General features: G+C 44.7%; 4 protein-coding genes across 5 annotated transcripts in view, besides 3 other annotated features; 1 reads left to right on the forward strand and 3 right to left on the reverse strand.

Annotated features, from left to right (window-relative positions):
• TSPEAR (thrombospondin type laminin G domain and EAR repeats) overlaps window positions 1-14,922 on the reverse strand; it is a 213,680-nt gene that overhangs the window by 155,965 nt on the left and 42,793 nt on the right. The window lies entirely within an intron of this gene.
• Window positions 356-802, reverse strand: KRTAP12-4 (keratin associated protein 12-4). Its single transcript, NM_198698.1, has one exon. The coding sequence runs from the start codon at window positions 755-757 to the stop codon at window positions 419-421; it is 339 nt and encodes a 112-aa protein (NP_941971.1). The 5' UTR covers window positions 758-802; the 3' UTR covers window positions 356-418.
• Window positions 1,266-1,766: an enhancer, noted in NCBI's record as "H3K4me1 hESC enhancer chr21:46075040-46075540 (GRCh37/hg19 assembly coordinates)". NCBI's record gives its function as "activates a minimal SCP1, AML or CMV promoter by ChIP-STARR-seq in primed H9 embryonic stem cells {active_cell/tissue: H9 hESC(primed)}" and the evidence as "EXISTENCE:reporter gene assay evidence [ECO:0000049][PMID:30033119]".
• Window positions 1,767-2,267: an enhancer, noted in NCBI's record as "H3K4me1 hESC enhancer chr21:46075541-46076041 (GRCh37/hg19 assembly coordinates)". NCBI's record gives its function as "activates a minimal SCP1, AML or CMV promoter by ChIP-STARR-seq in primed H9 embryonic stem cells {active_cell/tissue: H9 hESC(primed)}" and the evidence as "EXISTENCE:reporter gene assay evidence [ECO:0000049][PMID:30033119]".
• Window positions 3,737-4,708: an enhancer, noted in NCBI's record as "H3K27ac-H3K4me1 hESC enhancer chr21:46077511-46078482 (GRCh37/hg19 assembly coordinates)". NCBI's record gives its function as "activates a minimal SCP1, AML or CMV promoter by ChIP-STARR-seq in naive H9 embryonic stem cells {active_cell/tissue: H9 hESC(naive)}" and the evidence as "EXISTENCE:reporter gene assay evidence [ECO:0000049][PMID:30033119]".
• On the forward strand, window positions 4,075-4,484 carry KRTAP12-3 (keratin associated protein 12-3). Its single transcript, NM_198697.2, has one exon. It carries the CDS (start codon window positions 4,123-4,125, stop codon window positions 4,411-4,413), a length of 291 nt encoding a protein of 96 aa, NP_941970.2. The 5' UTR covers window positions 4,075-4,122; the 3' UTR covers window positions 4,414-4,484.
• KRTAP12-2 (keratin associated protein 12-2) lies at window positions 12,332-13,070 on the reverse strand. Its single transcript, NM_181684.3, has one exon. It carries the CDS (start codon window positions 13,027-13,029, stop codon window positions 12,589-12,591), a length of 441 nt encoding a protein of 146 aa, NP_859012.1. The 5' UTR covers window positions 13,030-13,070; the 3' UTR covers window positions 12,332-12,588.

Here is a 14,922-nt window from a genome sequence, read left to right on the forward strand (position 1 = left end):
GCTCACCAGGCCTAACATTCATCTGGTACCTGCCCCTTCTCTGCAGGGAAGGAGCTTTCCAGAATCCTGGGGAAGGTACCTCCTGAGGAAGGAGTGTGGGAAAGACACTGAGGAGAAGGCATCACACAGACTCAGGTGAGCACTCAGCATCTGGTATTTATGATATTTGCAAGAGACCTAACATCAGACAGTGCGGAGGGCCCTGTGGATGGCCCAGGCTGTGAACCCAGGAGAAACTGTGTAGAAAGGCGCATGGCCTCACCGGCTGGGATCTAGTGACGGTGCCGCAAAGGAGGCAGGCGGTCTAGTCAGGTGACGACAGTTTGCTGTGGGAGGATGTGGGGACTGCCTGGCAGGAGTTCAGAGAGCCTGCTGGCTTCTGACCTCGCACCTACGAGGGTCATAGGAGGCCACCTGCTCAGCAGCCAGTGGGGGTGCTCCAGGTGACAGGTCTATAGACCAGGGTGGGGCAGAAGGGCTGGCAGCACCCAGAGGTTGGGCAGAAGGAAGCCACACACAAAACAGGCTTGCAGCTCACAGGCACACAGCAGGCCACCTGGCAGGGGCTGGGCACACAGCAGGCTGGCTGGCAGCAGGTGGATACCCCACACAGGGGCCGGCACAGCAGAGCCACACAGGGGGCTGAGCAGCAGCAGGAGGTCCCATAGCCCTCGGGTGGGTAGCAGGTGCTGGGGACACAGCACGGGGAGCCAGGGCAGGCCATTGGGCAGCCCGAAGAGTGGCTGGTGTGGCACATGATGGAGTGTGGACAGGTGGGGGGCGCAGAGGACAGGGCTGGTCTGGAGCCTGCTTCCTTAGGTGGCCTTTATACCCAGGCTACCGGCATCCTGGCAACAAGCCCCCTGGCATCTTCCTCGTGGGTGGTTTTTCCTCCTCTGCCCTGTCTGGTTGATCTTTCTGTGTTTTTCTGTTGAGGTTACTCAGTTCAGGAAACTCTTTCAGCTAGGGGTGCCCTATCATTCAGCAGACCGTGTGTTTCCTGGAAACAGAGCAGGGGTAGCTGGTGAAGGGCTGTCAGTGAGGCCAGGGGCCCACCTCATGGATGTTCAAGGTCCCCCCGTTGTAAATGCCATCTGGAGCTCACACAAGCACAGTCACACTCACTACACCAGGGGCCCCGTTTTGACTGAGAAGCTCAGTCATCATCAGGGTCTTCCCAAGTAACGAGAGCCAAACTACTGGGCTCTATATTGTGGAATAATAATGATGATTATTGAGGTAACAGTAATGCACAGAGGTCTAGCACTGTGCCAGGCTGTGATTATCTCATTCATCTTTGCCAGCATTCGGGGTGGCCGATACCCCATTTTACAGATGTGCAATTTGTAAGTCATAGAGGGTTTGCACAATGGGTGCGTGTCTGCACCACTGCAGAGGTGCAGGGATCTGGACTGCTTAGTTTCACTCTGGGATCCATGGTCGTTACCACTGTGCCAAATTATACTAGGGCTTGAAGGTTCAATAAGTGACTCATCCTGAAGTCCTGAACCAGCTCGGACAGAGAAGATGGACGAAAACATCAGCCACGTTGGCGTCTGCAGAGCATGGCTCAGGCGTGTGACCACAGTGGGCTTCCTGACACCACACCTCAGAAGTGCCCACTTCCCACGAGTAGCACTAATGGCCACAGGACACCTCCTCTGCAGACGGAGCCCAGGAGGACCCATCACGGAGTCGGGCATGAGCTATTCATATCTGGTTCCTCTCCCTCGCTGTGGGTCTGATCAGTCTCACCCCTGCAGAGGCAGCTTGGGGGAAAGTGAGGAGCTGGTGTGAAATTCCAGGATGCCCCTGAACTTGGGAAGCAGCGGGCAGGAGTGTGGATGACACGCTCCTCCTCACACTCCAGCTCTGTTCTCTTGATGGATTGGCCACAGCGCTTTATTCTACGGTGGTGTCACACGGTGGGGGATGAGCCATCTCTCAGGGCAGAGCTACTCTGTCCATCCCAGGCAGCTCCCAGGGGCACCCTCTGCTCCTGTGTGGGTCCTTCTGTGCCTGCTGGTGGTGGATATGGGTGATTCCTGCCAAGAAGCCTTCAGACAAGTCAGACACCACATTAATGAAATCCCCTCCAAGGCTGAAGACCAAGTGGGGTCTCAGAGCTGTGGACAGAACTTAGAAGTCTATGGACCCAGAGCCGATCTGTGGCCATGTGGGAGTCACCTTAAGGCCTAGGGACAAGCCGGGCGAGGCCACAAGTTCACAGGCAACTCCTTTCACTGCTATAGTTCAGAATCACACTTAAAAACCAAGAGAATTGGGGCAGCCACAGTGATTGTGAGCTAGTCACCAAGTAATCCATTTTAAAAGTTGGTTGTCTTACGAGTCGATTACAGAAGAACAAGGATGCGTCTTTGATATTTATCTGCTCCTTTACCTTCCCCTGTTCCTCCTACTCCTTCCTGCAGGTCAGGGCCCACCTGGCCTCGTCCTAGTCAACCTAAAGGACATCCGTGCACGTCACCTGCAGTGCACATCTGCAGGGGAGGATTTCTCCCAGCTTTTGCTCTTCTGAACAGGTTTTTACCTCAACATGTTTTGAAGGATTTTTTTCATAGGTATAGAATTCTGGGTTGGCAAATTTTTTTTGAGCATTTTAAAGAAGTTGTTCCATTGTCTTCTGGCCTCCACTGTTTTTGCTGAGAAGTGAGGGATTTTCTCATCCTTGCAAGAACCTTATACCTTGTATGAGAAGTGTCTTTTTTTTCCACTGTCTTCAATAATTTTTTGATTTTCATTACTCTTACTATTTGATGCTTGGATATGGTTTTCTTTGTGTTGATCCTCCTAAAGGTTCTGAGATTCTTGGGTCTGTAAGTTGTTATTTTTTAAATCATATTTGGTGCCTTGGGCCATTATTTTTTTGAAACTTATTTATGGTTCAGTATCGCTCTCTTCTCTTTCCAAGGTTCAAACTACTAGTATGTTAGACAGTTCAGTACTGTCTCATATGTCTTTTCATTTTTCTAGATTCTTTCTCCTCTTCTTGAGACAAGATAATTTCTACTGGTGTGTCTTCAGGTTCACTGATTCTTTTTCCATCTGACTCCTAACCCCAAATCCCAGACCCCCCCAGCATGGGATTCTGATGCTTGGTTCTTGGGTCCTCATGATCTGACCAGTTCACCTGCACCCATGGCCCAACACCCAGAGTACAGGATTCCTGCCTCCCCTGGACATACCAGTTTCTGAAGCAGCATCCTCACTCTCTCCATGGCCACATTGTCTCCTCACAGACGCCCCCCAGACCACCCACCAGCACCCCCATTACTATCTCCTGAACCCATTTTCCCCAGCACTCAGCCCTGTATGGAATTATTTCATGCATTCATTTCTTCCTTTACTCATTTATTCATTGCCCACTGCTAGAATGCTCTTGAGGCCAAGACCTCGTTGCTGCTGGTACACAATATATATTTGTTGCATTAACAAATAACTTCTTGTATAGATTACTCTATGGCAGGGTTGGCTAACTTTCTGTAAAGGGCAGACAGCAAATATTTTAGCCTTTGCATGTTACAGTCTCTTCCATAACTATTCAGTTGTGCCACTATAGTGCAAAAGAAGCCACAGACAACACATAAACTAATGACATGCTGTGATCCAATAAGAGTTCATTTGAAAAACAGGCAGTGGGCCAAATGTGGCTCACAGACGATAGTTTGCCAACCTATGCTTTAAAGTTTTACTCTACAAAATTAAAGCTCAAAATACATTATTGCCTCAACATCTTCCTTGATAGCATGAAACAAAAGTGAAACAACGGGATTCGGTACTTTGAGTCGAGCCAGTGGTGCTATGTGCACGGTAGTAGCCTGAAAAAAATTGACAAAAAACCTGCATAACGTCAAACCAGAACATCCTGTTTACAGAAGAAACTAACCTCAAGGCCGAAGCTATTTATGGTGGAGCATGACGCGGGAAAGTACACGCGGGAAAATAAGATGTTGGGAAACACAGTGGAAACAACCACAAGGAAGACAACAGTTGTGTTTTTGTGTTACCCAGATGACAGGACCCAGGTATAAAGACCACCAGAGAAGCAGCTTCCAGACATCACCATCCTCCTCCCCAGTACCAGCCCAGCCACACGCCACCATGTGCCACACCAGCTGCTCCCCAGCCTGCCAGCCAACCTGCTGCATACACAGCCCCTGCCAGGCATCCTGCTATGTGCCCGTGAGCTGCCAGTCCTCCGTGTGCATGCCCGTGAGCTGCACGCGCATTGTGTGCGTGGCTCCCTCCTGCCAGCCCTCCGTGTGCGTGCCCGTGAGCTGCAGGCCCATCATATATGTGACTCCCTCTTGCCAATCTTCGGGGTGCTGCCAGCCCCCCTGCACCACTGCCCTCTGCAGACCCATCTCCTGCAGCACCCCTTCCTGCTGCTGACCAGCTGCTCCTGGTACACGGGGGTACACACCTGTATCCCTCCGTGAATAAGCATCTGGTGGACCCCCAGATTGCACACATAGGGCAGATGAAAAGCATGCCCAAGGAAACCTCTGAACTCTGGGGTGAGAACGTGGAAAAATGATTCAGACCTTCCATGACCCTGGGAACCCCCTCAAGGAAGTCTTGGCTGCCAGAGTCCTTCTCTCACTCCAGCAGGAAACTAAAACCCATGTGAGCCAAATAAATCGGCTGTCCCTATACACCTCGTCTCTCTCTTTTATCTTCATGTATTTCGTAAGTTCTTTCCTTGAAGGTACATACCAACTTCAATGGCAGCAGCACCTCTTCAGAGAGCCACCTTCCTGATGGCTGAGCTGAAGTGGAGGGTCCTTGGTTGGGGGAGTGGCCTGAAGGTTCTGTCCCCCGACTCCCTCCCCAAGCCTTGCACTGTGGGGTAATAAGATGTTGGGAAACACAGTGGAAACCACCATGAGGAAGACAACTCTTGCGTTTTTATGTTACCCAGATGCCTGGGACCCGGGTATAAAGACCACCAGAGAAGAAGCTTCCAGATGGAGCGTGTTGGGGGAGGGTAGAAGAAAACAATCCTCTACCCAGAAGGATGGACAAGAAATAGTCCTGGGCCCCAGATCCCATGCAATACCTCAAAGGATTACTGTGGCAAAGAGGGCAGGAAACTCTTTCAAACAACACCCACCACAAATACAGAGCAGAGTTCGTCTACCCCGGGAGGGGTAGCAGGAAGTCGAAGAAAGTCTCATTCTCCAAGTCCCACATGCAAAGGGCCTGCCTAAGACTGACACTGGACCAGGACAACAGAGAGCCCTCCTTTCTCCAGCTCCAGCCTAGCAGGCACAGCTCAATAAGCAACGTCAGCCTGCCTCTGGGGAAAGGCAGAAGTGTGTAGAGATCTCCTCTGAACGTCAGGCATGCAGGGGCGTGTGAAACTTAGGGTGGAGCAAAAGCGCTGACCTCCCCACCCCTCATCCTAAGCACAAGCACTGATGATACACCCTAAGCACAAGCACTGATACACCCTAAGCACAAGCACTGATACACCCTAAGCACAAGCACTGATACACCCTAAGCACAAGCGGTTGGTGCACTGAAGGTAACCACAGTAACAACAAAACCCAAACCACGGTCAGTGTCTGACCAGATTGACTCATCCACCTCCCCCCACACACTAATGGCCTGACAGGAAAAGAGACGCACGCATTTCCAGAAGGAACTGATGATGTCTGATATTCAATAAAAAATTATAAGATATGCAAAAAAGCAAGGAAAAACCAAGCCATTGTTGGGAGACAAAGAAATCAATAAAACTGGATTCAAAAGTGACCCAGGGGCTGGGCACAGTTCACCCCTGTAACCCCAGCACATTGGGAGGCTGAGGCTGGAGAGTCGTTTGAGCCTGGTGGTTCGAGGCTGCAGTGAGCTGAGATTGCACCACTGCACTCCAGCCTGGGTAAAAGAGCAAGACACTATCTCTAAAAACAGAAAGTAGAAAGTAAAATCACACAGGTGTTAGAGCTATCAGGTATAAACTTTACAATAACTATAATGAATAGATTAAAAGATCAAGAGTAAAGCATTAAAAACATAAATGAACAGATGGGTAATTTCAGCAGAGAAATGGAAACTATAAGAAAGGTCAAGTGGATATGGTAAAAATCAAAATACGGTATCACAGATGGCTTCCTTCAGTGGGTTCATCAGTATACTTGATACAACCAGGTGTGGAAGCTTTGAATTTGAAAACGTGTAAATGTAAATTGACCAAATTAAAACACAAAGAGAAAGAGAAAGAGAAGGGTGGAGGGAGACAAGAGCAAAACATCAAATCCTCATTTATGGATGTAATTGGAGTCCCTCAAAGAGAAGAAAGAGAGGGCAGGGCAGAAGAAATATTTAAAGAGGTAATAGTTGAGAAATATTCTAAAAATAATGAAATACATAAAGTCCCATATCCAAAAAGTTCGGAGAACCCCAAATTGGGTAACTATATCCCCACCACAAATGACTAGACATGTCACATTAAATCTGTGACTGACAAAAACCAAAGGTAAAAAGGGAAATCTTGAAAGCATCAATATTTTAAAAGCAGACTACGAGCATAAGGACAAAGGTAGAGTTTACATCAGACTTCTAATCAGAAATCACAGGACCGAAAGTACATCTTTAAAATACTGAAAGAAAATCCGTCGACCCTATGACACTAAAAGTGTCTTTCAAAAATGAAAGAAAACACTTTTTCAGATGAACAAAAACTGAAAAGACTTCATTAACAGCACACGTGCACTATAAGAAATTCTTAAAAAATTTCTTTGAGCCAAGGAATATGATAGCAGAGAGACACTTGAATCCACACAAAGAAAAGACCACCTCTTGGCTGGGTGCCGTGATTCATGTCTGTAATCCCAGCACTTTGGGAGGCCGAGGTGGGTGGATCACCTGAGGTCAGGAGTTTGAGGCCAGCCTGGCCAACATGGTGAAACCCCATCCCTACTAAAAATACAAAAATCAGCCAGGCATGGTGGTGGGCCCCTGTAATCCCAGCTACTCAGGAGGCTGAGGCAGGAGAATTGCTTGAACCCGGGAGGCAGAGGTTGCAGTGAGCCAAGATCGCACCACTGCACTCTGTCCTGGGAACAAAAAGAAAAGAAAGAAAAGAAGAGCTCTAGAAATTATTTTAAAAGAAGATAAATATAAATAGGCCGGGCGCGGTGGCTCACGCCTGTAATCCCAGCACTTTGGGAGGCCGAGGCAAGCAGATCGAGACCATCCTGGCTAACACGGTGAAACCCGTCTCTACTAAAAATACAAAAAATTAGCCGGGTGTGGTGGCGGGCGCCTGTAGTCCCAGCTACTCGGGAGGCTGCGGCAGGAGAATGGCGTGAACCCCAGAGGCGGAGGCGGAGCCTGCAGTGAGCCGAGATCGCGCCACTGCACTCCAGGCTGGGTGACACAGAGTGAGACTCCGTCTCAAAAAAAAAAAAAAAAAAAAAAGCATTATAACTAATTGACTGTCCAGAGCAAAAATAGTGACAGTGCATTGTGGGGTTTTTAACATAAGTAAAAGTAAAACATGGCAACAATAACACGAGGAATATAAAAGAGGACATGGAGGTACACTGCCGTAAAGTCCTGCCACTTACAGATGAAGTGGCGTCATATTACCCGGAGGTATCCTTTGTTACAGTAAAGGTATGTATTGTAACTCTTAGGCCAAATAAGTTTGAAAGGACGTATTAGGCTATTATCGCCTTGCTATAAGGAAATACCTGAGACTGGGTAATTTATAAAGAAAGGAGGTTTAATTGGCTCACAGTTCTGCAAGCTGTACAGGAAGCATAATACTGGCATCTGCTCAGCTTCTGGGGAGGCAGAATTGTGAGGAAACTTACAAGCACTGTGGAAGGTGAAGGGGGAGCAGGCACATCACGTGGCCAGAGCAGGAGCAGGAGAGAAAGACGGGGCTGGGGGAGGGGCCACACGCCTTTAAACAACCAGGTCTCCCAAGAACTCACTCACTGTCGCAAGGACAGCACCAAGGGGATGACGCTTAACCATTCATGAGAAATCCACCCCCGTGATCCAATCACCTCCCACCAGGCCCCACCTCCAACACTGGAGATTACAATTCAACATGAGATTTGGGCGGGGACACAAATCCAAACTATATCAAGATGTATACAAAAAGTAGATATAAAAGGGAATAACTAAGAATACTAAACCAAAAAGTGGCATAGAAAGAGGGCAAAGATAAAAAGGAACAGATGGAACAAATAGAATACAATTAGCAAAGTGATATTTTGCTAATATTAAATTAAATGCAAATTAATTTATTAAATTAAATTAAATGCAAATCATCTAAACACCAAAACCAAAAAACAGAGATTTTTAATTGGATTAAATAATTCAGGACCCAACTATATTCTATCTACCAGAAGACTCACATTAAATATAAAAAACATAGATAGGTTAAAAGTAAACAGATGGAAAAATACACCACACAAACATTAATCAAGTAAAATTGGAATGGCTATATTAATATCAAAGTCAACTTCACAAAAGAAATATTACCAAGGATAAAAAGGAATATTACATAATGATAAAGCATCAATTCACCATGGACACGTAACAATTCTAAATGTGTAAGCACCAAACAGCCAACTTTCCAAACACATGCAACAAAAAAACTGAGAAGGGAAAGGAAAAACAGATAAATCAGATTTGTCATTGGACTTCAGCTTCAAGAGAACAAGTAGACAGAAAATCAGGAAGGATACAGAAGGCCTGGACAACACTGTCAATCAACTTGACCTAATGGATATTGACAGAACACTCCACCCAACAATAACAGATACACATTCTTTTCAAGCACATGAAACATTCACCAAAAAGACTATATTGTGCCATAAAATAAACTTCAACCCATGTAAAAAAGTTGAACTAATACAATGTATGTTCTCTGACCACAAAGAAATTCAATTAGACATTAACACCAAAAGGATAGCGAGAAACACCCTGCAGAACTGTAAAGTAACCGACACACTTCTAAATAACCCATGGTTCAAAGAAGAATCACAAGAGAATTTAGAAAATATTTTGAATTAAATACAAATTAAAAGACAACATGTCAAAATATATGGAACATGGCTAAAATAGTGTTTAGAGGGATAAAATTATATCATTAAGTGCTTATATTCACAAAGAAGAAAGTCCTGAAATCAATTATCTAAGTTTGCACTTTAAAGAAAAAAAGAAAATTAAACTCAAAATTAGCAAAAGAAATGAAATAATTAAAAATCTGAAAAAAAAAATGAAGTAGAAAATGGAAAAGAATTCAATGAAAGCAAAAGCTGCTTCTTTGAAAAGAACAATGAAATGAATAAGCATCTAGCCAGACTGAGCGGTAAAATTATAATAAAAAGAAAAAAAAAGACACAAAATAGCAATATTAGGAGTGAAGAAGAGACATCATTACAAATCTTACAATTATTAAAAACATGATACAGGAATGATGTAAACAACTTCATACCATTAAATTTGATAACATACATAAAACTGGCACATTTTTAAAAGACAAAAGTATGAAAGCTTATTCCAGAGAAGTAGGTAGCCTGAATAGTATCATATCTATTAAAGAAGTTGAATTTTCAGTTAAAATCTTTCAACAAATAAAACTAGGGGCAAATGGCCTCCCTGGAAAATTCTACCAAACATTTAAAGAGGAAATATAACCAATTCTACATGAACTCTTCCAGAAAATAGAAGGAAAGGAATCATTCCCGATTAAATTCATAGAGCCAGCATAATCTTGATATCAAATTTGAACAAAAGTATTATAGTACATAGTATATAGAAAACTATATACTATTAATAATATCTCTTATGAATATAGATGCAAAATTCTCAACCAAATACTAGCAAATTAAATCCAGAAATATGTAAAAGAGATAAAAGGTCGTGATCATGTGAGATTTATCCCAAGAATGCAAGGTTGGTTCAGTGTTAAAAAATCAACTTATAATTCACCATATCAACAGACTAAAGAGGAAGCACCATATTATTATCTCAATAGATTCAGAAAAGGCTTTTGACAAAATTCAACATCCATTCAGAATAAAAACTGCTAGCAAACTAGAAATTAAAAGGAACTTCTTTTAAAGAGCATCTATGAAAAACCTATAGCTAATATCATACTTAATGATGAAAGACTATATGCTTTCCCCTTAAAATCAACAACAAAGCAAGAACATTCACTTTTGCCTCTGCTATTTATTACCATACTGGACTTCCTAAACAGTGAAGTAAAAAGCATGCAGCCTGGAAAGAAAGAAATAACACAGTCTCTATTAACATATTACATTATTGTCTACCTAGAAAATCCCCAAAATTCTACAATAAAGCTACAAGAACTAGTAAGTGAATTTAACAAGGTCAAAGAAAAAATGCCAATATACAAAAATCGATTTTATTTTAATATACTAGCAATGAACAATCAGAAATTGAAACTTAAAAATAGTACCATAATAGCATTAAACTTATAAAATACTTAGGGATAAATTCTGGGGGAAATATATAAAATGTATACATTGAAAACTACAAAATATTGATGAGAAGAATCAGAGAAAACCTAAATAAATAGACCATGTTATGGATTGCTGGATATGTCGACTCTCCCCAAATTGATCTATATAGTTTCAATACACTCCCAATCAAAATCTCAGCACAAATTCTGTAGATATTGATAAGCTTATTCAAATATCTATATGGAAAGACAAAGAAACTAGAGTAGCCTAAACAACTTCTTAAAAGAAGAACAAAATTGGAGAACTCACACTAGCTGATTTCAAGACCTACTATAAAGCTGCATTTATCAGGGCAGGATGGTGTTGGCAAAAAGATACTTAGCATATGACCCAGCTATTCCACTCCTAGACATTTACCCAAGAGAAAGAAACAAATACGTCCATGCAAAAACCTGGACTTGCTAACAAATGCCCCATGTGGAGCACTAGCATCACAGAACTTGGGCTCCAAGTGGCCCTGAGGGCCACAGCTCCAGAGGGCGGGGGCTGAGCCAGGCCTCATCCATGCTTCTCTGTGCACAGGGCAGGTAGGTTCTCCAGAAGCATTTTTTGGTTACCAACCCTCCCTCCTCTCATGCTCTGATTTCCAGTTTGACCTCTAACTCCCAGCCTGGGGGACCAGAGTGCTTACGTGTGTGCATAAGTGTGTGCACGTTGTATAGTGCACACATTGGGTGTGTTCATGGATTCGAATGTGTTCGGCTGCAAGCATTTATATGTCTGGGTTGATTGGTTCCATTTCTCACTCAGTTTTATCCAAAGCCTCCCAGTTTAAACTACACAATAGGTCCCTGACCACCTTGCCTAAAAGATGATGAAACCAGTTTTTTAACCCTAAACTCAACACTTGCCTCCAAGGCAAATAAAAATCTTGGAATCGAAGGCAGCCAGTAGTGAGAACGTTCTTCAGGGGACAGTTCTGGGCTATGCTATCTGGAATAGCAGACTCCTGGGGCAAGAGGGCTGGCCCATCTACTGGGGAACGTTTAACCTGAGACAGTCACAGCAGAGCCCCCCAGGAGGGGAATACAGCCCAGACAGGGGAAATGCAGAAGAATGCTACCAGCACAACGCAGACTGGGAAAAGCAAGTTCCAGATTACATTCTGAATAATTTCCTTTTCATATCACCAGAAATTACTAAATTAGAAAACACCCATTTCAGGAATACATAGAGATATGACTCAACTCTATTTTTTCTAGAAAGTAACAGAATAAGGAGCACACAATCCCAACAGTGGCTGCCCCAAGAAGTTCTTGGTAAATTATTGATGATGTTCTCATTTCTATGTCAGGCAGTGGGTTCATGCGGGTTTATTATATTAGGATCCTCAGTAATTGATCATCAGTCAATCAATAAAAACCAAGCCTTTGTGGACCAGTGATGGGAGTGTGTGCCGCAGAACTAATCCAGTTCTGTAAACTTGAGATCCTCCGCGACCTGGGAAACAGGACGTCCACCAACCACATCAGAAAACCCAATTGTCAATGCTCTGAGGCTTTGGCCATCAGTGCAGGGCTTGTTGGCCTGGAGCAGGAGTGGACAGCCAGTGGGGAAGCGAGACCACTCTACCACAGGCGGGTAAGTCACTTCTGTGGCCACTGCACCTGGGCCCCAGGAGCCCTGGGAGAGACCACATGGGCATCTGCAGCTGCGCCCTCCACCCGGGACACCACCTTCTGATGAGCACTGGGTGAAGGGATCACTGAAGAGGGTTTAGCAGCAAATTCTATGTAATCAGCAGAATAGATAGCAGGGAGTATGGAAATAAAAAAGAAAGACCAGAAATGCAGAGCTGCATGGGGAAAGCTGGTTTATTTGGCTCTCATGGGGTCAGAGAATGACTCTGGGACCCCAGACTTCCCTGGGGGGATGGGCAAGGTCAGCAAGGGCTCCAGATCATTCTGTCACATTCTCAATCCAGAATTCAGAGGGTTCAACTGAGCATGCTTTTCACCTGCACCATGTGCAGAAGACCAACTGAGGACTCATCCAGGGAGTGTACAGGTGTGGCCTCATCTGCACTGGGAGCAGCGGGTCTGGAGATTCATGCTCAGCAGCAGGAAGAGATACTGTAGGAGATGGGTCTGCAGAGGACGCTGGTGCAGGAGGGCTGGCAGCACCCAGAGGACTGGCAGGACGGAGCCGCATACACGACAGGCCTGCAGCTCACAGGCACGCACAGGGAGGACTGGCAGGAGGGGGCTGCACACACAATGGGCCTGCAGCTCACAGGCACACACACAGAAGACTGGCAGCTCACGGGCACGCACACAGCTGACTTGAAGCTCATGGGCACACACACAGAAGACTGGCAGCTCACGGGCAGGCACACGGCTGGCTTGAAGCTCACGGGCACACACACGGAGGACTGGCAGCCCACAGGCACACAGCAGGATGCCTGGCAGGAGCTGGGCACACAACAGGCTGGCTGGCAGGGGCTGGGCGCGCAGCAGGCTGGCTGGCAGCCCGAGGAGCAGCTGGTATGACACATGGTGGCGTGTGGCTGGATAAGGTCGAGGCAGAGGGCAGTGATGTCTGGGGACGGCCTCCCTGGGCAGCCTTTATACCTGGGCCCAGGCATCCCCACAGCACAGAAGCACACCTGTCTTCCTTGTTTTTCTTCCTCAGTGCTGTCTCCTGGAGCTTAATTTTCTGTTGTAGGTGTCTCTGGGTTTTGTTTGGCCCTTAGCTTCATGACTAATTGCACCTTCTTCGAACTCTTGGTATGCTTGGAAACCTGCCAGAGTGTTTTACTGGCTTCATCAAGATTCTTCCTTGTTCTTTAAAATTTTACCTGAGTTACTTTTGTGAGATTCCAAAAACTCAGATCTCCAGATTTTTTTCCTCTCTGTGTGATGATGGTCCTTAAACCACAGAAGTTTACACTCCTCTCATGGCTCAGGAAGGCTCCACAGTCAATGTGAGGTAGAACAGGACGTGTCTAGCTGATCTGTGGGTGTCCTGAGAGCTTAGAGCTGGATGAGAGCTAGCAGATGGAGGAAGAACATGGAAATCACTTGTCCATAGGATGAGTGGGGACAAAGGGTGTGGGTCACAGAGAACTTCTTGTGAGTGGTGACCATGGATCTTTGTCTTGAGAAATCCTCCTAGTTAAGAACCAAGATGAGACAACACCACTGGCCCTCATGCATGGAGACACAGCTCTAAGGAAATCAAGCTGGTCCAAGCATGTTCCCAGGGAAGCATGTGAGGCCAGTGAAGGGTCCCATGGACAGCCACAGCAGGATATGTGTGAGCTGAATATAGAAGGTTCCAAGGGCCAGAATGACTTCTGGGTATGTTCAGCAGAAAGCCATGTGCACCCTGTACTGCAGGGACAGTAGAATCTCTGAGCCTACAGATGTCAACACCAGATCACTTGGAACTTGGCATCATGATAACAGAATGAAGGAAAAAACCACGTGATCATCTCAATTGATATAGAAAAGGCATTTCACAAAATTCAAGATTCTTTCATGATGACAACAATCAACAAACTAAGAATAGAAGAAAACTACCTCAACACAATACAAGCCATACATGAAAGACCCACAGCAAGCCTCATACCCACTGGTGAAAAACTGAAGGCTTTTTCTCTAATATTGGGAACAAAGCCAGCATAGTACTAGAAGTTTTACTAAGAGCAACTAGGCAATTGTTTTTAAAAGGAAGAAAGAAAGAAACAAAAAGCATCCAAATTGAAAAGCAAGAAGTAAAGTTAGCTGTGTTCACAGATGACATGATTTTTATATGTAGAAAACTCTAAATATTCCACACACAAAAATTTTAGAATAAATGAATTCAGCAAAGTAGCAGGATACAAAAGCAAAACACAAAAATCAGTTCTATTTCCATAAACTAACAAGCATAATCTCAAAAGGAAAGTACAATAACAATTCCATTTACAATACATTAAAAAGAACAAAATACTCAGGAGTTAACCAAAGAATTAAAATAATTGTGTAACAAAAACTACAAAACGTTGAAAGAAATTAAAGGCAACAGAAATAAATGGAAACACATCCCATGTTCATGAATTGGAAATTAATATTGTTAATATGTCCATACTAACCAAAGCAATCTACAGATTCAATGCAATCCCTGTCAAAATCCCAAGGACATTTCTTGCAGAAATAGAAAAACCCATCCTAAAGTTTATGTGGAGTCTCAAGGGACCCTAAATAGCCAAATCAATCTTAAGAAAAGAATAGAGCTGGAGGAGTCACACTTTCTGATTTCAAAACTTACTACAAAGCTACACTAATCAAAACTGTGGTACTGGCATAAAGACCAATATATAGACTAATGGAATAGCATAGAGAGCCCAGAAATAAACTCTCACAACTACAGTCAAATAATTTTCGGCAAGGCTGTCAAGACCTTT

Source organism: Homo sapiens, chromosome 21 (assembly GCF_000001405.40).
Source record: "Homo sapiens chromosome 21, GRCh38.p14 Primary Assembly".
NCBI lineage: Eukaryota > Metazoa > Chordata > Mammalia > Primates > Hominidae > Homo > Homo sapiens.